The sequence below is a fragment of the Homo sapiens genome, chromosome 4, assembly GCF_000001405.40.
Source record: "Homo sapiens chromosome 4, GRCh38.p14 Primary Assembly".
In the NCBI taxonomy this organism is placed as follows: Eukaryota; Metazoa; Chordata; class Mammalia; order Primates; family Hominidae; genus Homo; species Homo sapiens.
Window position 1 is genome coordinate 4,400,594 of NC_000004.12, and position 20,578 is coordinate 4,421,171.

The 20,578-nt window shown below is 53.7% G+C and overlaps 2 protein-coding genes across 13 annotated transcripts in view, besides 2 other annotated features; one reads left to right on the plus strand and one right to left on the minus strand.

The window, feature by feature from the left end:
• NSG1 (neuronal vesicle trafficking associated 1) overlaps positions 1-18,465 on the plus strand; it is a 32,527-nt gene extending 14,062 nt beyond the window's left edge. For 6 of the 8 annotated variants that reach the window (NM_001287763.2, NM_001040101.2, NM_001287764.2 and 3 more), the window contains 2 exons: positions 8,980-9,090; positions 16,642-18,465. In NM_001287763.2, coding sequence (NP_001274692.1) covers positions 8,980-9,090; positions 16,642-16,842 — 312 coding nt within the window. In that variant the 3' untranslated portion in view covers positions 16,843-18,465. The remainder of the gene's footprint in view (positions 1-8,979; positions 9,091-16,641) is intronic. The other 2 variants (NR_167932.1, NR_167933.1) reach the window with 1 other exon arrangement.
• Positions 5,361-5,491: a silencer, noted in NCBI's record as "fragment chr4:4407681-4407811 (GRCh37/hg19 assembly coordinates)". NCBI's record gives its function as "represses an EF-1alpha promoter that drives an FKBP-Casp9 reporter gene in an ReSE screen in phorbol 12-myristate 13-acetate-treated (for megakaryocytic differentiation) K562 erythroleukemia cells {active_cell/tissue: K562(+PMA)}" and the evidence as "EXISTENCE:reporter gene assay evidence [ECO:0000049][PMID:32094911]".
• Positions 14,519-15,020: an enhancer, noted in NCBI's record as "H3K4me1 hESC enhancer chr4:4416839-4417340 (GRCh37/hg19 assembly coordinates)". NCBI's record gives its function as "activates a minimal SCP1, AML or CMV promoter by ChIP-STARR-seq in naive H9 embryonic stem cells {active_cell/tissue: H9 hESC(naive)}" and the evidence as "EXISTENCE:reporter gene assay evidence [ECO:0000049][PMID:30033119]".
• STX18 (syntaxin 18) overlaps positions 18,375-20,578 on the minus strand; it is a 123,376-nt gene continuing 121,172 nt past the window's right edge. For all 5 annotated transcript variants that reach the window (NR_144414.2, NM_001346282.2, NM_016930.4 and 2 more), the window contains 2 exons: positions 20,271-20,351; positions 18,375-19,536 (listed from right to left, as the gene is read on the minus strand). Coding sequence is in view for 4 of the 5 variants with exons in the window: in NM_001346282.2 (NP_001333211.1) it covers positions 19,441-19,536; positions 20,271-20,351 (177 nt within the window). In the remaining variant the exon portion in view is untranslated. The remainder of the gene's footprint in view (positions 19,537-20,270; positions 20,352-20,578) is intronic.

The window sequence follows — 20,578 nt, forward strand, 5'->3', positions numbered from 1 at the left end:
TTCCTTTTATTTATATCCTCTTTAAGTTCCTTCAAAAATTTTTTATAGTTTTCAGTGTACAAATTCCTTCACTTTTTAATGTAGGCAGTAAACCACAGAGGTATTAGTAGTACTTGTGACTTTGTCACCAATGCATACCAGGTGTTTTTATATCACATTGCAGCTGTGGGACAGTGTGGTCTTGGGACAGTGTTTATTGCTCATGGTTCCTTTGAAGCCACAGTATCAGATCTTGTTCAGTGTGTTAATAAATGCATATCTATCACAAATTTATATTTTTGTAATATTTCGATACCAGTATTTCAATATAATCAGTTTTCCTTGCAAGTCTATGTATTGTGTTTTACTCATTTAAAACATCATTCTAAGGATTTGTGGTTTCACACAGCTGCCAAAGAGGTCAATGACACAAACCTGGTGGAGCCCTGCACCCGCTGCTCCAGTGCACTATCCCTTAACACCCACAGCAGTGGGGGCTGGGCCACCTTGGGCCACCGTGGGATGCACAGCAATGAGTACAAATCCCTGCCCAGCAGCTATAATCCCATTGCCCCTGCTTTAGAGCTTTTACTGCCAGCTGCACAGAAGTGATGTAAATTTCGGGATAATGTAGACCCTGCTGTAATACACACATGCATGCATATCAGTGGTAGGCATCTGTCCTTCAGATGACTGCTTGTGCTGTGAGAAATGCTAGTTTGTCACAAAGTGGCAGTTGCTTCCTGGGGTCCTGAAACACCCGGGACCTGTCTGCTTCCAGTGTCTTGGTGTGGCAGACAGGCATCTTTGTCGCCGGGCTCGTGTTCCCTCTCCTGCAGGGTGTGCGATGCTGCAGCCACACTGGTCGTAGACACTGGGTTTTTTGATGCTTCAGGCCCGTGGCACAAACCCTTTCTTCCTGCTGGACTCCCATTTCCCTCCTCCCTGGTAAGCTCCTCCTCCTTTGGGACATGGACACCTCCTCCCAGAAGCCTTCCCTAGCAAAGTTATCGGGGCTGGCTCTTTAGCAGTTCTCGCCCTGTGTTGGGAAGAGTTAACACCAGGGTGACGCTGTGGGACCGTACAGCCCTGCAGGGCTGCTCAACCACGTCAAAGCACCTGAGAATGTCCCCTGGCTGCCTGGGGATTCCAGTAAGAAGGAAGAAGGCAGGGCCTTTTGGGACTGAGGTGCTTTGGCCATCATGGACCCCTTCCTTCATTAAAAAAAGAGAAAATTTTGACTGCTTTGATCTAAAGATGAATATAGTCCAGGCTGGGTTCCTCAATATAGATTCACCAGTGTCAGTATGATGATGATGATTTTTTGAGACAGGGCCTCGCTTTGTCACCCAGGCTGGTGTGTAGTGGCACCATCTCGGCTCACTTCAGCCTCAAACTCCCAGGCTGAAGCGATCCTCCCAAATCAGCCTCCTGAGCAGCTGGGACCACAGATGCTTACCCCCATGCCCAGCTAATTTTTTTTTTTTTTTTTTTTTGGCAGAAATGAGTTATCCCTATGTTGCCCAGGCTGGTCTCGAACTCCTGGGCTCAAGTGATCCTCTCGCTTCGGCCTCCCAAAGTGCTGGGATTACAGCATGAGCCACAGCACCCAGCCTGGTTTCTTATTTTTTCCTTTGATTTTTTTTTTTTTCGAGATGGGGTTTTGCTGTGTAGCCCAGGTTGGAGTGCAGTCCATGATCTTGGCTCACTATAACTTCTATCTCCCGGGTTCGAATGATTCTTCTGCCTCAGCCCTCCGAGTAGCTGGGATTATAGACACGCAGCACCACGCCTGGTTATTTTTTTTTTTTTTTTTTTTTTTTTTTTTTTTTTGAGACGGAGTCTTGCTCTGTCGCCCAGGCTGGAGTGCAGTGGCGGGATCTCGGCTCACTGCAAGCTCCGCCTTCCGGGTTCACGCCATTCTCCTGCCTCAGCCTCCCAAGTAGCTGGGACTACAGGCGTCCGCCACTACACCCGGCTAATTTTTGTATTTTTAGTAGAGACGGGGTTTCACCGTTTTTTAGCCAGGATGGTCTCGATCTCCTGACCTCGTGATCCGCCCGCCTCGGCCTCCCAAAGGGCTGGAATGACAGGCCTGAGCCATGGTGCCCGGCCTTTCTCCTTTGATTTTGAAACAAAAACTTGAACAGGTTCATGGGTTCCTGCAGGCACGGTGGGCCCGGGTGTGGGCCCCGCACTTCCTGTGCCTGGTGGAAGAAAGGCCCGGCTTCTAAGGAAATGCGCTTCTCCCAACCTAGAGACTGCCTGGCCCACCTGGAGAAGCCAGGCATGGGAATCAGACACTGTCTATCAACCCACGGGGCGTGGATGGAAGAGCTGCCCTGGATCTGCTTCCTTCCCAGGCGAGATCATTTGCTTAATAAAACCAAGACAGCCAGCACCTCCTGCAAACTAAATCCACGTTCTGTTCGATGCGTAGACGTTATTCTGGGTCGGCTCCAGGTGTCCAAGAGTTGTTCAGTGTGTGTTCATTAGGAGATGGAGTATCTGCTGGTTGTACTCACTCACTCACTCACTCACTCGCTGAACGTGCAGGAGGCATCTTCTCTGTGCCAGATGTGTGAATCACAGCCCTGCCCTCGGGGGCTCCATCTGTGGGAAGATGAACTGAAAGGAGAGGTGAGTGTAACAAATTACCACCCATGCCATGGCTGAAGACGGCGCACGGGCATTCTCCCCAGGCCTGAAAGTCAGAAGTCCTAAGTCAGTTTCATTGCACCAAAATCAAGGGGTGTGCCGGGCCCTGCTCTGTCCGGAGGCTCTTAGGCAGACACTGTTTCCCTGCCGCTTCTGTCTTCTGGAATCACATGGGGCTCATGGTCCCGTCCTCCGCCGTCATATCCTGTAGCGCAATGTCTTCAAGCTTCTCTCTGCTCTTTTCTCTGTCTTCAAGTCGCCGCCTCCTCAGCAGGGGCACCTCCCTCTGCTCCCCTGCTAGGAGGACACCTGTGATTACCTTTAGAGCCCACCTAATCATCCAGGATAATCTCCTCTTCTCAAGGTCCTTGACTTGATTGAATCAGCAAAGTCCCTTACCATATACATTTCCGGGAGTAGGACCTGGGTGTCTTTAGGGCCGTTATTCAGCCAACGACAGCCAGTTTGCCTGGGCCCAGTCATGTACATCTGAGCCTCAGTTTCCCCATTTGTAAAACACAGTCAGTAATACTGCCTTGCAGGTGTTGTGTTAGGAGTACGCAGACTTTAAATGCTGACCAGAGTGCAGAAGGCGGCGGACGTCTCCAGAGCTCCTCCTAATGGTAGTGTTTTGGTGTGAGAGTATAAAGTCTGGTGGGGGGTGTAGCTCGAGAGCCCCCAGGAATTCTGCCCAGATGTGGAATCCTTTGTTTATCCCCTTGCTTCCAGCTTAGGCTACATGCGGGAGGCATCTGGAGAGTTTTAAACTTGCTATGCCGCTATCGCTACTTGGAGTGGAGTCCAGATGATGGGGACATTAGAGCCTCCCATGATTCTCATTGGCAGCCACAGTTGAGTCCATTTTGTACCCAGGCTGGAGTCACTGCGAATGGCCGCCACCTCTCTTTTTGCATAGCCAACACCGGCCTCTTAGGATCACCTGGGTCCTGTTGGCCGACTTGGAGGTGCTGCCTTTTCAATGACAAGGCGTTTGTTATGTGTAAAGAAAGGCGTTGAATTGGACGGTCTCCAGCTTCTGCCCAGCATGGAGCCTGCAACATTGTGTGGGAGTGGGGCTCCCATAGGGTAACAATGGCTCACCCAGCTCACCGTGCCCACTGTTTGCCAGCCATGGGGTCTCCTGCACACCCCATCATAGACGCAGGTGCTGGGCCGGCATCCCCCTTTCACAGGAAACCAGGCGTTGGGGCGAATGCCCTTTGCAGGGTCACTGCGTGTGGCCGAGCAGGCCAGGAACCCGGGCTTATCTCACTTTTAGTCCCTGGCATGAATGGCTAGTTCGTCCATCAAGTATTTTCAAATTGGTTGAACGATGGAGTTGCTGGTGGTCGTGGTTCTCCAAGATGCTTCCGATCATGGCATGTTGTTGTAGAGGAAGCTTAAAAGATACTGCAAGGTCCTGGAGGAAACGCCGATGTCTGGCTCAGTAACATCATCCAATGTTCCAGAATTCTTCTAAGTATCTCATGGGGAGGGGGCAGGGACTTAGGAAAGTCTCCAAACTGTGACACTTTTATTTCACTTTAATTAGGAAAAAAGAGATGCTGGGCTCCTTGGTGCCTGCATTCACGATTGGTGTCCCGATAGAGGCTGGGATGTTCCAGAGCCTTCCTGGGGCAGGGGGCCTGGCCAGGGCTTTGAAGGGCAAGGAGAGAGGGCAGGGCAGCCTGGCATGGTGCGGAAGGAACGGGGTAATGGCAGAGAGAACAAGTATGGGGGAGGGGAGCCAGTCCTGACCCCTGTGAAGTCACTCTGCTGTTAGGGGCCCTATAACAAAGTACCACAAACTGGGGGGACTCAGAGCAACAGAAATTTACTCCCCCACTACTGGAGGCCAGAAGTCTGAAATCAAGGCTTCGGCAGAACTGTGCTCCCTTGGAAACCTGCAGGGGAGACTCTGTCCTTGCCCCTCCTAGTTCCTGGAGGTTGCCACCATCCTTGGCTTTGCTGTGTAGACACAGTGCTGTAATCTTCCGTCCTCACGCGGCCCTCTCCCTATATGCGTGTCTGTCTACATCCAAATTTCCCCTCTTTATAAGGACACACCAGTTTGGTTGGATTAGGGCCCACCCTGATGGGCTCATTTGCAAAGATCCTATTTTCAAATCAGGTCCCCTTCACAGATCCTGGGGGCTGGACTTCAGCATCTCTTTTTGAGGGGCCCAGCGTGCTCTCAACTTGTGGTCTCTTGTCCTTCTCCTGAGATGCGTCAGGGTGTAAGGCATGGTTCCCCCACTTTGGCGATGAGATGTGGGGCCCAGAGAGGCCAGGTGACCTGTTCAAGATCACACAGGCAGCAGCTTACAGGATTCAATTCCGAGCCAGTTTCTGGAGAGGCCCGTGGCCCTCTCTCTCCTTAGGCCATGGACCCCATGCTGTGCCCTGCAGTGGCTGAGGAGACCCCAGCTCCAGAGTCTGCACAGGGCAGGGGGAAGAGAGAGCTCAGCCTGTAGGGGAGCTCTTTGCCACACCACGGGCCGCCCGCTGACTCTCCCTGGATGTATTTCTTTGCCCTTCTCCCCTTGACTGTTCCAGGGACTCTCGCATTCTCGTTGCACGGTTCGGCTGGCTCCTCAGCCGTTGGGCCTGGGATCCTGGAGGAAAGGCTTGGCCAGGTTTCGGAGGACACCCCCGAGGAGGTGGTTCCCCCACAGCCCTGCAGGAGAGAATGGGGGTTCTTTTTAAATCTAGACAGGTGGGGTACCAGGAGCCAAACTGATGTGGCTTCCCAACTGGAGAAACAGGTTTAATGATGCCCCATCTCTTCAAGGACTTGAAACCCTCTTCTTTTTTTGAGACGGAGTCTCACTCTGTTGCCCAGGCTGGAGTGCAGTGGCGCGATCTTGGCTCACTGCAACCTCCACCTCCTGGGTTCAAGCGATTCTCCTGCCTCAGCCTCCTGAGTAGCTGGGATTACAGGCACTCACCACCACGCCCGGCTAATTTTTTATATTTTTAGTAGAGACGGGGTCTCACCATGCTGGCCAGGCTGGTCTTGAACTCCTGACCTCATGATCCACCCGCCTCTGCCTCCCAAAGTGTTGGGATTACAGGCGTGAGCCACCACGTCTGCCCCTGAAACCCTCTTCTAACAGGACATCTGCACCTGTGGTGGCTTGGCTCTCTTCTCAGAATAGTGTTTTCAGATGCACAGAATAAAATGCAAAGGGTTACGAAGGAGGCCAGTTAAATGGAACCAAGTCCTTCTGGACCACCCTGAGTGAGGCAGCCCTGCAGTGTAGACTTGGAGAAAGGCAGGTAGCTGGAGCCCGGGCAGGCTGGCCCCGGGTGAACATGCGACGGGGCAGCTGGTTAGAGGGTTGAGAGCCCGCTCTGCTGTCTGCCAGGCGCACACCCCAGGGCCAGTGAGGAGATGAGAGTGAGGATAACAGCAGCGACAGCAGACAGCTCCGTCATGCTCCCCCCCAACCCAGGTGCTGTTCTCAGTGTCCCGTGACTGTCCCTGGAAGGCGTTCCTTTCACTGCTATTCACAGGCTGGAGCCAGGTGCCAGACTCCCGGCCAGTGAGCTAGAGCCGCAGGGTCTGTGCTCCGGCCCCTGTCCAGAGCCTGTCCCAACCCCAGGCACCATCAGGGCTTGCGGCTATCATCGCCAGGCAGCCCTCCCTGGCTGGGCTCCTGCCACTGCCTCTGGCTGCCACGTGCCTCAGACGGCTGCGCCTTCTTTCTCCGGCCAGCTCTGCCTGCTTCATCACAGCTCTGCGCTCTGCTGCCCTGGCCCAGGTGCTGTGCGCTGGCCTGTGCACTGCAGCTGTGATCTGGACTAAACGGCGCCTTTCCCTGTGGGCACTGCGGCCCTGGGGAGCAGCCTGGCTCCATCCTGTCTGTGTCCCTTGTCAGGCACAGGCTCCATATGCACTGTAGGCCATCCCAGTGGACTGGAGTTTCTCTGGCCCTTAGAGAGGGTGATGGCCCTGAGAAGGCAACCTACGGTCGGGGTTGGGGGAGTGGAGGCGGGAGACGTGACTGAGGAACTGGCAGGACCTGGGGACCAGGAGGATGGGCCTGCTCAGAGGGGATGTGAATCTGCCTGCCAGGGGCCTGAGGGGTCCCTCCCTAGGTGAAGGGACACAGAGGGGACAGGTCTCATTGGAGTTGTAGTGGGTCTGAGCTGGGGAGATGGGAGGGCGGGCGGTGGGATGTAGCAGGTAGCCAGGCGGAGTGCGAGAGCAGCCTGGGCTGGGGTCTCAGGGTCTTGGTGCTGCCCTTGTCCTGCCCCGGGCACTGTGCTGAGAGCCCCTGGGACCAATGAATCTGGCAGCACAATGGACAGGAATCTGACTGCAGAGAGGCCACGTCCCTCAGCTCTGAGCCACCCCATTCAGCTGGTCCTGTGGCCAGGGCTCCCTGCAGTCAGGATGCAGGCTCGGGGACAATTGTGAGGCCTGGAGATGAAGACCTCCGGGAAGTGGAGGCAGGGGATGAGCTGCAGTGACTAGTGTGGCTCTCCAGGCATCTGCAGCCTTGCAGAGACGGGGACGTGGTGGAGGTGTCGTCCCATGTCATAGGGAAGGAGTCTGTGGCTCAGAGAGGTTAAGGGGCTTCCAAGGTGGTGAGGCTGGTAAGCTGCGAAGGTGCAGAGCTGCAGGCAGAATCTGCACCCTGGGCCCTGGTGCTGGGGCCTGAGCGGCTTGCAGGGGGTGCATAGGGGCCCCCAAAGAGAAGGAGGGTTAGCCTCAGCATTCACGGCAGGGTGGCCGCCCGTCTCCCAGGTGACCATGCTGCACGGCTGATAGGACACTTTCTCACGTACATCTCCTGCTTCCCCAGGACCAGTGCCTGGGACGCCCTTGGTCTCCTATCACAGATGGGAACTGGGGACTGCATGGTGTTAGGGGACTCCAAGCCTAGAGTTCCTGAAGCGGGCAGGGCTCAGGAGGGCACTCTGCTGGAGGGTCTACCCAGTTGAGCTTCGGGACTGCAGCCTTAGGAAGCAGCAGAGCTCCCCAGTTCTTTAACCTTGTTGGCTGTAGGGTCTGTATGTGGCCAGGGGAGAGTCCCAGCCCCTCGCATCCTCCAGGCTGCTGGGAGGGGCGGTGGGGAGCGAGCAGCTCTGTGCATGTTCATACGATTACGGAGGCCCTGCCACGTGCTGGCACCTGGCATCCTCCCACCCGGCCAGGGAGCCCCATCGCTCTCTCTGCCTCTCTGGGCAGGCGGAGGGCCATCTGCACGCTGTTTTAGCTTTTTATTGATTGATTTATTTTGAGGTAGAGTCTCGCTCTGTCACCCAGGCTGGAGTTCAGTGGCACTATCTCAGCTCACTGCAGCCTCTGCCTCCTGGGTTCAAGCGATTCTCCTGCCTCAGCTTTCCTGAGTAGCTGGGATTACAGGTGCGCACCAACATGCCCGGCTAATTTTTATTTTTAGTAGAGATGGGGTTTCGCCCTGTTGGCCAAGCTGGTGTCGAATTCCTGACCTCAGGTGATCCACCCACCTCGGCATCCCAAAGTGCTGGGATTACAGGTGTGAGTCACCACGCCCAGCCCGTTTTGGCTTTGAGACATACTCTCGTCCCTGCCAGGCTCCCTGGCAGCCGGGTGAGTGCCTTCAAGGTCCAGGTCCAGTGTCATCTAGTGACCCATGCCCCGTGCCCTCCAGCCGGGGCAGGCTGTCCCCCTCCAAGCCAGCTGTCTTGCAGCTGTCGTGAGTTCATCTGTAAACACCAGCTGAACACCTACTGTGTGCTGGGGCTGTCTAGTGCTCAGCATACCATGGTGAAGAAAACCGAATCCCTGTCCCTGAGGACACTTAATTAACCACATGGGAAACCGCCGAGGGCGAAGGCCAATGGGGCTGCAGAGGTTCTGTCTTTCCTGGTCCCACGCAAAAGCAGGCTGGTGTCCATGCGACACTGCGTCCCAGCACTGAGCCCAGGGCTCAGGACACATTTGCTGAGCGGATGCTTGGCTGGTAGCTGATGCACCACCGCCGTGATGGGGCAGTGGGCAGCCCAACCCCACTTCTCACACATGTGTCTTAGTGGCCCGAGAGCTGCCTGGGCAACAGTGGGGCTTCTTCATATCTGTACCCTGAGCTCTCTATGCAGGACCTTGGGTACTAAAAATAACTAATTTAAAATGAATGTCACTTATGAATATGGTGAAAAATTAAAATGTTACCAAAAAATTGCCCAGTGAACAGTGATGCTTCTAACCTCTTGTGCCTAGCTGCCCTTACCAGGTTCTTCCAGAGATAGTCTCTGCACATGCTGTGTGGGGGGGGGCCTTCGTGTGCGGGTGTGTGTGTGTCTGTCCTGCTGCCTTCCGGCCACCCCTGACAGTCCCACCTCTGCCCACAGGTCTCCGTGTTGGTCCTCTTCGCCCTGGCCTTCCTCACCTGCGTCGTCTTCCTGGTTGTCTACAAGGTGTACAAGTATGACCGCGCCTGCCCCGATGGGTTCGTCCTCAAGGTAAAACTCCGTTTTCCCCCAGAGGCCCTGGGACGCCTTTGCACCCCATGTTCTCTCCCTTGAACTCAAGGCTGCTCCTGCCGTCTCCCCCAGCTGGCCCACGGACAGGCCTTAGAGCAGCAGGGGGCCAGTGTCAGGAGTGTCCCTGTGGAAGGCCCACCTGGAGAGCAGGGCAGGTAGGCAGGGGGCACATGAGACCCACAGGAAGGAAACTCCCGGACTTGGCCCCTGGGAGCTGACCTCAGCAGTCCGGGGAAGGGCCCTCCTCGAAAGTGGGCCCAGCCAGGGTCTGCCGTGGGAAATGCCCAGGATGATACCTACCGGATCCCAGCGGATTGCTCTGGGGGAGGGAGGGAGAGAGACGGGACCATGTCCGCCACATGAAAGAGGAGAGGATGTACTGGGGGAAGCCAAGTCCCACAGAGAGGAAGGCCTTGCCCAAGGCCACGCAGGGAAAGGGGAGCAGGGCTGGGGGGCACACCCACCCTCCTGACCTGTGTCCCTCTCCTGCCTGTCCCACCGCAGGAGCCACACTGGTGCTGGGCTCTCTACAGGCATGGAAATGCTCGCTTTGCATATATAATGCTCATTCCCAAAAGCCCACAAGTGACATGCAAGGCAACGGGATTAAAGGGAGGGGAGATAAGGGTGGAAAGAGAAGACGGAGCCAGGGGAGGCCTGGCCACGCATCACTTAGTGACGGGAATACGTCCTGAGAAACGCGTTGTTAGGCGACTCCATCATTGTGCCAGCCTCACAGAGTGTCCTGTACACCCACGCGGCCCAGCCTGCTACACACCCGGGCTGGAGGGTATGGCCGACTGCTCCTAGGCCACAAACCTGGACAGCATGTTGCTATACTGAACAATGTAGGCAGTTGTCACACGATGGTAAGTATTTGTGTATCTAAACATAGAAGAGGTCCAGTAAAAACACGTTATAACGCATGGTCCACCTGAATAGGGCATTTCCATCATGAATGCAGCTTGCAGGACCGGAAGCTGGTCTGGGTGGGTGAGTGAGGGAGTGGGTGGTGAGTGAATGCGAAGGCCGAGGCATGGCTGTGCACTCCTGTAGACGAGTGAGCGCTGGACATGTGGGCTACACTCCATTCATAACATACTCTTTCTTCAGTAATAAATTAACCTGAGCTCACTGTAACCTTTTTACTTCATAAACTTTTTGTGTGTGTGTGATGGAGTCTCACTCTGTTGCCCAGGCTGGAGCGCAATGGTGCGTTCTTGACTCACTGCAACATCTGCCTCCCGGGTTCAAGCGATTCTTCTGCCTCAGTCTCCTGAGTAGCTGGGATTATAGGTGTGCGCCACCACCCGGCTAATTTTTGTATTTTTAGTAGAGACAGGGTTTCACCATGTTGGCTAGGCCGGTCTCGAACTCCTGACCTCAGGTGATCCACCCACCTCGGCCTCCCAAAGTGCTGAGATTACAGGCGTGAGCCACCACACTCAGCCAATAAACTTTTAAAATGTAAGTTTTTGACTCTTTTGTAATAACACTTAGCTTAAAGCTCAAACATCTTGCACAACTGTATATTATTTTTCTACATGTGCTTTTTCTATTAAAAAATTTTTTAATTCTTTTTTTACTTCCAACACATTTTTGTTAAAGCTAAGGACACAGACACACACATTAGCTAGGCCTGCACAGGGTCAGGATCCACAGTATCACCGCCTTCTGCCTCCACACCCTGTCCCACTGGAAGGTCTTCAGGAGCAGTGACAGGCACAGGGCTGTCATCTCTTAGGATAACAATGCCAGGCCAGGTGCAGTGGCTCACGCCTGTAATCCCAGCACTTTGGGAGGCCTAGGTGGGTGGATCACCTGAGGTCAGGAGTTCAAGACCAGTCTGGCCAACATGGTGAAACACCGTCTCTACTAAAAATACAAAAATTAGCCAGGCATGGTGGCGGGTGCCTGTAATCCCAGCTACTCAGGAGGCTGAGGCAGGAGAATCGCTTGAACCCAGAAGGCGGAGGTTGCAGTGAGCTGAGATCATGCCACTGCACTCCAGCCTGGGCAACAGAGGGAGACTCCGTCTAAAAACAAAACAAAACAAAACAAAACAAAACAAAACAAAACAAAACAAAACATTGCCTTCTTCCAGAATCTCTCTTGGAGGAGCTCCCTGAAGCTCTTTTAGAGTTAACTTTTTTTTTTTAATAACTAGGCATGCACTCTAAAATACTGATTAAAAAGTATAGTACGGTAACATAAACAAGTAACATACGCGTTTATTGTCACTGTCAAGTATTATGTTCTGTATGTAATTGTATGTGCAAGACGTTTATACAGCTGACAGTGCAGGGGGTGTGTGTATACCAGCACCTCCGCAAAGTGAGGAGTGTGTTGTGTTCCGTCTACACGGTGGCTGCGAGGTCACCAGGCGACAGGAGGTTTCAGCTCCGTGACAGTCTTATGGGGCCACCATGGCATGTGGTCCATCGTTGACCCAAATGCTGTTATGCCGCGTGTGGCTGTAAAACGCACTTGCTGGTTCCCCACAGGGAGGAGGGGGTGGCTAAAACTGCCTTCCCTATCCTGCAAGCCCAAGTCCCGCTGGATACCTGGCCTGGGTGGGAGATGACCCAGGAGATGAAGCCCCAGTCCTGTGTCCGGCTGCAGATGAGACTGGCGGCCACAATGGAAGGGGCCTGGCACCTTTTGTTTAAAAGGCGCTCCAGGTGATTCCCATCCACAGCCAGCCTTGGGAATTGAGAGTCCCCTGATAAGTTGTTCTGGAGTGATGTCCTGTGGGACTTTGGCATTTTCCACTAGCATCTAATGAGGGGGTGTCCTTTCCGGAGAAGGCACCTAGGAAGGCCAGGGAGCTGCTGGTCTGTATCCAGCTGCCCTTGGCCAAAGCTGGAGAAAGGAGAGGCGTGAGCTCATGAAGTCCCCTTGACCTCCTCCCTCCATATTTGTGCGTGTGTTTGTCACACACCAACGCTAGGCAGCTTGTGTGGGGCTTTTACACCTGTTGCTCACGGAATCCATACACTCGGTAGCTGTGGGCTCCCGTTATCCATACACTCAGTAGCTGGCTCTGAACTTCCCAGAGTCAGTGTGAGATGCTCATCTCCAGGGCTTGGCACTGCTGAGATTAAAATAAAGCAGGAGAAGCCAACTGTTTCTAGCACTGAGCACGTGCACAGGGAAGCCTGGCTTGGCAGCTGTCACTGGGTAGCTTGGGTTTGGGTTTCATTTAGGTTTTGTTTTTTGCTGATATGAGGACGCAGAGAGTCCTTACGCGATTAGCAGGAAAGGCTGGAATTCACGTTGTCCAGCCCAAGTCCCTTTTTCTCCTTGCACATCATGCTGTCCTTCAGGCTCCCGACATTCAGCTCTTCCTCCCTTGGGCAGGCATGTACATGGCACCCACCCCGTGCCAGCAGCTCTTGCTATTGTTCTAGGCGCTGGAACACAGCCGAGAGCCAGTCAGGTACAGCCCCCTGCCTTCACGAGGCTCTTACATTCTCAAATGAACGGTGAGGAAGTCAGTCGTACACTGAATGTGAAGGCTATAGACAGACAGGAAAGAGGGCCCAGGGGTTGGGCATGGGCATGTGGGCGGTAGTTTCTAGAAGGATGGTCCACATTGGAGGAGCGGGTCTCCAGGAGGTGAGCCAGGGAGCTTGCGGGTCTTGGGGGAGTGTGCCCAGCCAAGGAAAGCCCCCACCCTTTCACTCATGTTTTATTCAGCAAGCCCCGTCCACGCCCTAGGCTGGGGCTGGGAGAGTTTGAGTCTGTTTTGGAGGCTGAGAGGACACCAGGGCTTTACAACAAGCAGAAGCGGAGGGTGCGGGCTTCAGGGAACGAGGGCAGTGCTGGCCCTGACCCAGTGGGAAGGGGTTTGTGATGGTAGAGGAGCACAGAGGGAGCAGCGGGCAGTGGGGACGTGCTGGTGGGGGTGTGCTGGTGGGGGGCTAGCCACAGGCACAGGGAGGCGGCAGAGGATGAACCAGCTTACGGCCAGAGCGGGTGCATCCTGAGTGCCAGGCACAGGCCCCTGGAGGAGGGGGAAGTGATAGGGTGACCTCTTGGGTCACCTGGGGAGGCTGGAGATTGGAAGGGAGAGACGGGGCAGTGAGATGACCAAGGAGACTGCTGCAGTGGCTGAGGGAAGAGAAGACTGGGGCGCTGGGGATGGAGGGGAGACTGCAGACTGGAGAACTGATTTAATCTGGGAGGCAGAGGGGTAAAAGGAAAGGGCCTGGTGCAGAGCTAGTTACTGAGGGAGGCCGATGTCATGGAGAGGGAGCACGGGCAGGCCCAGGAGCTGGCCCTGAGCCGGAGAGAGGACAGCAGAGGACAGCTTCCTGGGGGCCGGAAGTCCCCACCGAAACTGGCTACTTACAAATAACTGAGGCCAGTGGCTTCACCAGCTGCCCTGGAGCTTCCTTCCTGGCTCATCCTCTCTGAGCCTGGAGCAGGTTCCCCACAGGGAGGAGGGGGTGGCTAAAACTGCCTTCCCTATCCTGCAAGCCCAAGTCCCGCTGGATACCTGGCCTGGGTGGGAGATGACCCAGGAGATGAAGCCCCAGTCCTGTGTCCGGCTGCAGATGAGACTGGCGGCCACAATGGAAGGGGCCTGGCACCTTTTGTTTAAAAGGCGCTCCAGGTGATTCCCATCCACAGCCAGCCTTGGGAATTGAGAGTCCCCTGATAAGTTGTTCTGGAGTGATGTCCTGTGGGACTTTGGCATTTTCCACTAGCATCTAATGAGGGGGTGTCCTTTCCGGAGAAGGCACCTAGGAAGGCCAGGGAGCTGCTGGTCTGTATCCAGCTGCCCTTGGCCGAAGCTGGAGAAAGGAGAGGCATGAGCTCATGAAGTCCCCTTGACCTCTTCCCTCCATATTTGTGCGTGTGTTTGTCACACACCAACGCTAGGCAGCTTGTGTGGGACTTTTACACCTGTTGCTCACAGAATGCATCCAGAAGCCCTTTGAGGTGGATGCTGTTATATCCCCATTTTACCAGTGGTTAGAGGGTGTACAGAGGCTCTTCGTGGAGCCCAAGGTCACGCCCTTCAGTTCACTTGGTACAGTCAGCATGTACTAAGTACCTCCTACTATGTGCACACTGGACTCGACACCTTGAGGGCAGGGACCTCAGAGCCCCAGGCAGTGGGGAGGGGACAGGCTTTTTCTGGACAGCCACTCCCAGTGGCCCCAAGCTGAGGCATATCGTGAGGAGGGTGAAAAAGGCAGACGTGGCCCGAGAGGACACTAGGTTTCTACCTCTGCCTTTAAAAAAAAACAACAACAACATGAAATTACTACATGTTTTATAAAAAAGTTTTAAACATAATGGGGAAAGTGCCCCAAATCCCACATTTTTATACTGGCTTTTCCCTTTATATTGGCCATTCTTTTTTTTCATGTAGACAGGTTACACGTTCTTGCTATGTTGCCCAGGCTGGTCTCGAACTCTTGGGTTTGCTCAAGTGATCCACCCTCAGCCTCCCAAAGTGCTGGGATTATAGGCATGAGCCATCGCACCCGGACCTTAGTGGCTACTCTTTTCCAGTGCTGACTGAGTGCTGGGTGCTGGGAACACACTTACGTAGCTACCTCAGTCCTCCCGTGCCCCACAAGACAGGTCCGTCATCAGCTTCACTTCACAGGTGAGGGAATGAGGCCCAGAGAAGTTGGGGAACCTCCCCAAGCTCCTCCAAGTGCAGGCCCAGCTGAGTCACGCTCCCCTCAAGGCACACACCCCACAGGTGAGGGTGGCTCTGTATGAGATGGGTATGGGGGGCGGCAGGAGCCTCTCAGAAAGCCTTCCCTGGCCCATGTGGGCTCACGGCAAGGCCTCTGCATTCTGCTTCCGTTGGGAAGCCCTTCACCCCCTGGGGTGCTCGCCACCATGGGCACCAAGGTGCCTCCCCAGCCTTGCCTTTGGGCAGCCACGTTGTCTGGGAGGCATCTGGGGACTCCATCTGTCCTTCTCCCTGGGCGGGGCACCTGTAGGGCAGGGCCGTTTCTGAGCCATCTCGTATGCCAGCCCTGAGCGGGGCCGCCACTCCACAGGTGTTGGCCGCATCAGGTCTTGCAGGACTCTGCTGGGTGCCGAGGTGGGAGGGAAGAGGGGAACCCTTGGTCCGTTTCCCTGAGGGATGACGAGCAGCAGATGGAGAGGACAGCGTGAAGGGGCGTGGCGGTGAGGCTGGAGGGGAGTTTGTCTGGCCTGCAGAGCCTCCTTCCTGATGCACGCGCTGCTGGTCTGAATGGGCTGTTTGTTCTGTAGCGTGTCAGGTGCTTCCCGACGTCCTGGTGGGACTGAGATCAAGACGCTGTTGATAAAAGGGCTGTACTTCAGTGGTGTCTTTTGGCTTTCTTTTCTGTCCACACTGTGACCTGGGGCACATCCTGGCTTCTTTACTTGAGCCACTGTGCATTGACTTGAGTCCTCAGCAACACGGTGGTGTGACTCATTGGCCGCATTTTATAGGTGAGGGACCTGAGATTGAGAGAGAAAACACTCCGCACGTGAACTCAGCTGGTACGGTGGGCCTGGCTCCAAAGCTTCCCTTCTCCTGTAGCGCCGCCCTCCTGCCAGTGGCAGCCCCTGAACACTGGATGCGGGGCAGTGTTGGTGAGAAGCACATTCCATTTGTCATTTCTCTTTTGAAAATAGCTCTTTGTTCACAAGGGCCTTGCAGGTATAAAGTATTCTCATCTTTAGACTTCAGGGTTCAATGAGCTGGTAACAGAGAATGGATTCCCCATGGGGGCTGGGTGGCATCAGGAGCTGATCCCTGTACACCTGCCTTAAGCCCGTGGAGGTGAGCCACTCACCTCAAGGACAGGCTGCAGCCACAGCTGCCAAAACAGGGAAAACGCCCCCGGCCCTGCCTGAACCACAGGGCCTGGCCTGCAGGGAATGGGGGTGTGGATTTGCTGCCAGAATCCGCTTCCTGATAAACCTCTGTAAGACCCAAGTGCTGTCTCGCACTCCCCCAACCCACGGCCCCTCCCTACCCCCTCGCCATCTTCCCAGCCCCTAGTCATGACCACCTAGTGGCTCTGTGTGCCTCTTCTGACTCCCGCCCCAAGGCCCCTCTCTGCTCTGGTTTCCTTTGCCTTGAGTGCTGCCCCTCCCTCATCTCACCTAGCTAAGGTCTGCTGAGAACCTAGCTCAAGGGAAGCTCTTCTCACTTCCCTTCCGTCCTCATTTGAATTGGTTGTTTTGGGATATTTCATAAGTTGTTGTTTTCCAATTGATTAAAAATGACAACTAGTGCAAGATCTTCAGTGAAGTAAGGCCTGCTGTCCCATTACACTGGCACCCTTGGAGCCCAAGTGCCCATCTGCCATGGCACTCACCAGCCAGTCTATTAAGAATAATCAAGGCCAGGCTTCCCCTGTGCTGTGCTCTCTCAGGGCAAGATCCATGCCCGTTTTTGCTCATCACTGTATCTATTCCTCCAAGCTCAGGGAAGGTGCTCAGTAACTGTTGGCTGCCAACTGGAGACACACTGGCACCCCCTCTTGCACCGACGCGTGCTCTCAGTGGCCTCTTGTCTTTCAGAACACCCAGTGCATCCCAGAAGGCTTGGAGAGCTACTACGCGGAGCAAGACTCCAGTGCCCGGGAGAAATTTTACACAGTCATAAACCACTACAACCTGGCCAAGCAGAGCATCACGCGCTCCGTATCGCCCTGGATGTCAGTTCTGTCAGAAGAGAAGCTGTCCGAGCAGGAGACTGAAGCGGCTGAGAAGTCAGCTTAGCGGGATGGGCAAGTTCCTTACAATGTGTCACTTGCAAATAACAAAGGGACTTTGAGGGACATTTCATTAAATATAATTACTGATACTTTAGAGGTTACTCATTTACGGTGCAATTGCTTCTGTTTGCTAATGCTGCTTTGCAAATAAAACTTGCTGCCGACCACCCACGGGCATAAAATCAAGTGCATTTCAGCATTGCCTAAAGAGCTCTGACACCACTTTTCATGTTAAGATCTTCATTTAGCTCCTTTACTGGGATTTATTGGATGCTGTAAAAAAATAAATTTACACTGGATATGCGAAGGGTTTGGATCTCAGATAAATGCATTTTGTGGAATTGATTTTCTGAACCGACCCTGCTGTCTGCAAACCTTCCTCCATAGCCATATCTAGAGTGATCTCTCGCTGTGCTAAGAGCAAGCCTACTTCGCATTTCTTCCTCGGCCATCAGCGGGTAACAGTGCTGACTGCTGCCAAGGTGCACTGTAGTAAGTAAGTGGCATAGAGAACGAGGAAAAAGACCCCCCCACCCCTCCCTGTGCTGACTCCTGAGTCGGGGTGGGACGGCCCTGCAATGTGGCAGGCTCGGTGTGGATTGACTACTCCCTCCCCTCTGACTCTGGCATCTTGGTAAGGAGGGAGGGGCACCACCCATCTGGGTGGAGACAGCTGGGGTTTGCTCCAGTGTGTGTAGACTGGCAGAGCATGTGAGGGAGAGGGCTGGGAAGAGACGGCCCTGGGCCCGTGAGGTGCAGAACTCTCCCTGCAGGTAGTCTGTCTGCTCTGTGATGTGCTGATAGGAAAGAGCCCCCACTGGCCCTCTGGTTCACTTCTATTATGAATAAATTTGCACCAATAGCCCCATTAGTTTTTAAAGAAATGAGCTGGGTGGGAAAAGTGGAAATGTAATTTCTGGTAAGCTTGAGCTACTTTAATTTTTATTCTATGAAACTGATATCCCTTGATGTGGGAAACAGGCAGGAAAGGCTGTGGGGTGGGGGTGGGGGACTGGTGTGGCACCGTGCAAACAAAATGACAAATTTCAACTCACAATCTTTGTAAGAAAATTGTTCCAGTTTGAATCTTGATATTAAAGTTTATGTTTACAAAACTGCCAGTTAGATGAACTAAGTGTGTAAAACAAATAGAAAAGACATTCGCAGACATTTCTTCTATGTTATTGAATGTGTTGTTTCTGGTGTACGTGTCAAAAGTTTCAGTTTTTTAGATCAGAAATAAACGACAAATAGTGTGAGATGTGTTGTGAACAGGCATGGTGACCGTGGTCAGCGCCACTCTTGTTTCCTGAAATGTGCTTCTAAGACAGAAAATGTATTTTCTCATCAAGGGTGTCTGGAGACACAGACCGTGACCTTGGCGCAGCGGTGTGCATCAGAGGCGTGTGCTGAGAAGGGTGGTGTTAAGCTGTGGAAAATGACTCAAGAGCAATAAATCAGTGCCAAAGCTTCCCTGCGCATCTGAATAGACACAAGTGAAGCCCGTGTGCGCACAGTGCAGAGGCCGAGCCTGTATTTCCAGGTAGACGTGGACTTTATTGACTGTGAATTCATTTACATGTAACTTCTGACATTTCACTCTGTGCAAATAAAGAACATGAGGATACCTGTGCTGCCCAGTGGACTGTCTGTACACACACGCATTTCACCAGGCGCAGTGCAGACTGTCTCATGCCCATGTGGGCGCTGGGATGCTTCCTGTACAGATGTCTCATGCCTTCAGTTACACATAGGTGTTCCTGTTTACAGTTCCTGGAGGTCAGAAGCACAGGCACGAGAGAAGCAGGCCCGTTCTTCCGTGGCCCACTTCTTCCTTTGAACAAAGGCTCCTTGGACCCAGTGGCGGGAAACTGGCCCTCCCACACCCCCTGCCTGTTCTGGGGGCAGCAGTCTTTGGAGGAGTAATGCCAGGCAGCCCCTCACTGAGGGCCCCAGTCTCCCCTGCATTTCTTCCCTGATTGATTGATAGGAGGTGGCTGGGCTGCCACTGAATTTGTCAACTTAGACTCATTGACAACACATTAAGGGGCTGTAATTATATTTATTAGATTAACAAGGCAGATGTGAATTTTCTCTTCTATAATCCAGTAAGTCTGTGTATTCGTTGACTCAGACAGACAAGAAGCCACAAGGAAACAAAGAAGTAATCATTTGTTGAGAGACGTTATTAACTATGATCTTCCCTGAAGCTACCGGGATGGGAAAGGTCAGTGTCTTCCTTTGAACCCTGAGACAATTAGGGGCTCTTGAGGCCTGCTGTGCCCCTGCTGCCAAGGCAGCCTCAAGTTCAAGGAGCAGCTAATCACCCACTCCTGCATTCAGTCTGTCTTGCCTGATGAGGGCTACGCAGGCTGCCTCCCATTGGTGTGCACTGTTTCCTTTTTCAGCTGCTAAATGGCTGAACACCATCGGCCTGGGGTATCCCTTTTTGGGGAATACGTCTGTCTGTCTGAACTCCTTTCCCTTCAAATGGCACTGTGATAAAATCTGGTCATACCATGCTCCAGCACTGGAAGTACATGAAAGCACGCAGTCTGTGAGTGCCCATGAGGACTCTCGTGCTGGGCCCCCGTGGCCCTGGCTAGCTGTCGTACCAGTCGAGGAAGAGCAAGGAGAAGGAGCACATCACGAGGAAGAAGAGGATCCACACGCGGAAGCCAGCGTTGTTTTTAATGGCCTGGGCAGGGACGGGAGCACAGGTGTTTTTATCACACAGGATTTTGGTTTGAGCAGCCCTGAAATGCCCCCCTCTTCCCACGTGCTCTCCTGATCCTGGCTGTAACTATGGGTGTCGTTCCATCTGTGCTTACCTTGAATAGATGGCTTTTGAGATCCACCAGAAGACAAATGGGTTATATTTCCCTCTGTTTGGCCATCATTTGGGTCCTGCACAATTCTCCCTCAACACAACTCTCGGAATCACTCCCTTCTGTCCCAGGGTTAAGGGCCCCGAGCAGAGTGTGACCGCAAGCTTTGTGTTTCCCAGTAACATGATGTCCGTGGTGACCCAACCCTGAGGACTGAGCTTGGGAAACAGTCCCCTCAACAGGATGGCTGTAGTGTCCTCTGTAAGCAGGGGCCAGGCTCTGACCCCTCGGTGGGGGCCAACGAGCTACCCATGTACATCCCTGGACATGAAGAGCTGGCCTGACCCTGCCAGGAGTACCCCCACCCACCCTGGATTGCTCCTTTGGAGGCTGGTGAGCCACTGCCTCTCGAAAGCAGCTGGAGGTGGGCGACAGGTGGTGGGTCTCATGAACACACGCAGCTCCGCGGTCACACAATTTTGTGATCAGCCCCGTGAGCTCTGCCCAGCAAGGCTCCTGGGCAGCTGTGCCGGCGAGACTAACACCCGCTGCTGGGACTCAGTGCTGCGCCACGTCGCACCTGGGGAACCTAAACAGTGCCTACCTCTCTTATGTCTTCGTTGCCTTCCTTGATATTTTCAGTTGCCCCCACAACTAACTGGTGAATGCTGTCAATCTCAGCTTCCTGTGGAAGAAAAGATAAATACAAGTTGAGTATCCTTTATCCAAAAACCTGAAACCCAAAATGCTCCAACGAGCATTTCCTTTGAGTGTCATGTCAGCGCTCAGAAAGTTTCAGATTTTGGAGCACTTAGGACTTCACATTTTGAAGTTTAGGGATGCTTGACATATACAGCCACTTCCTCCTCCCTGAAGCGTATATCATGACAAGAACAGTAGCCGTCACCAAGG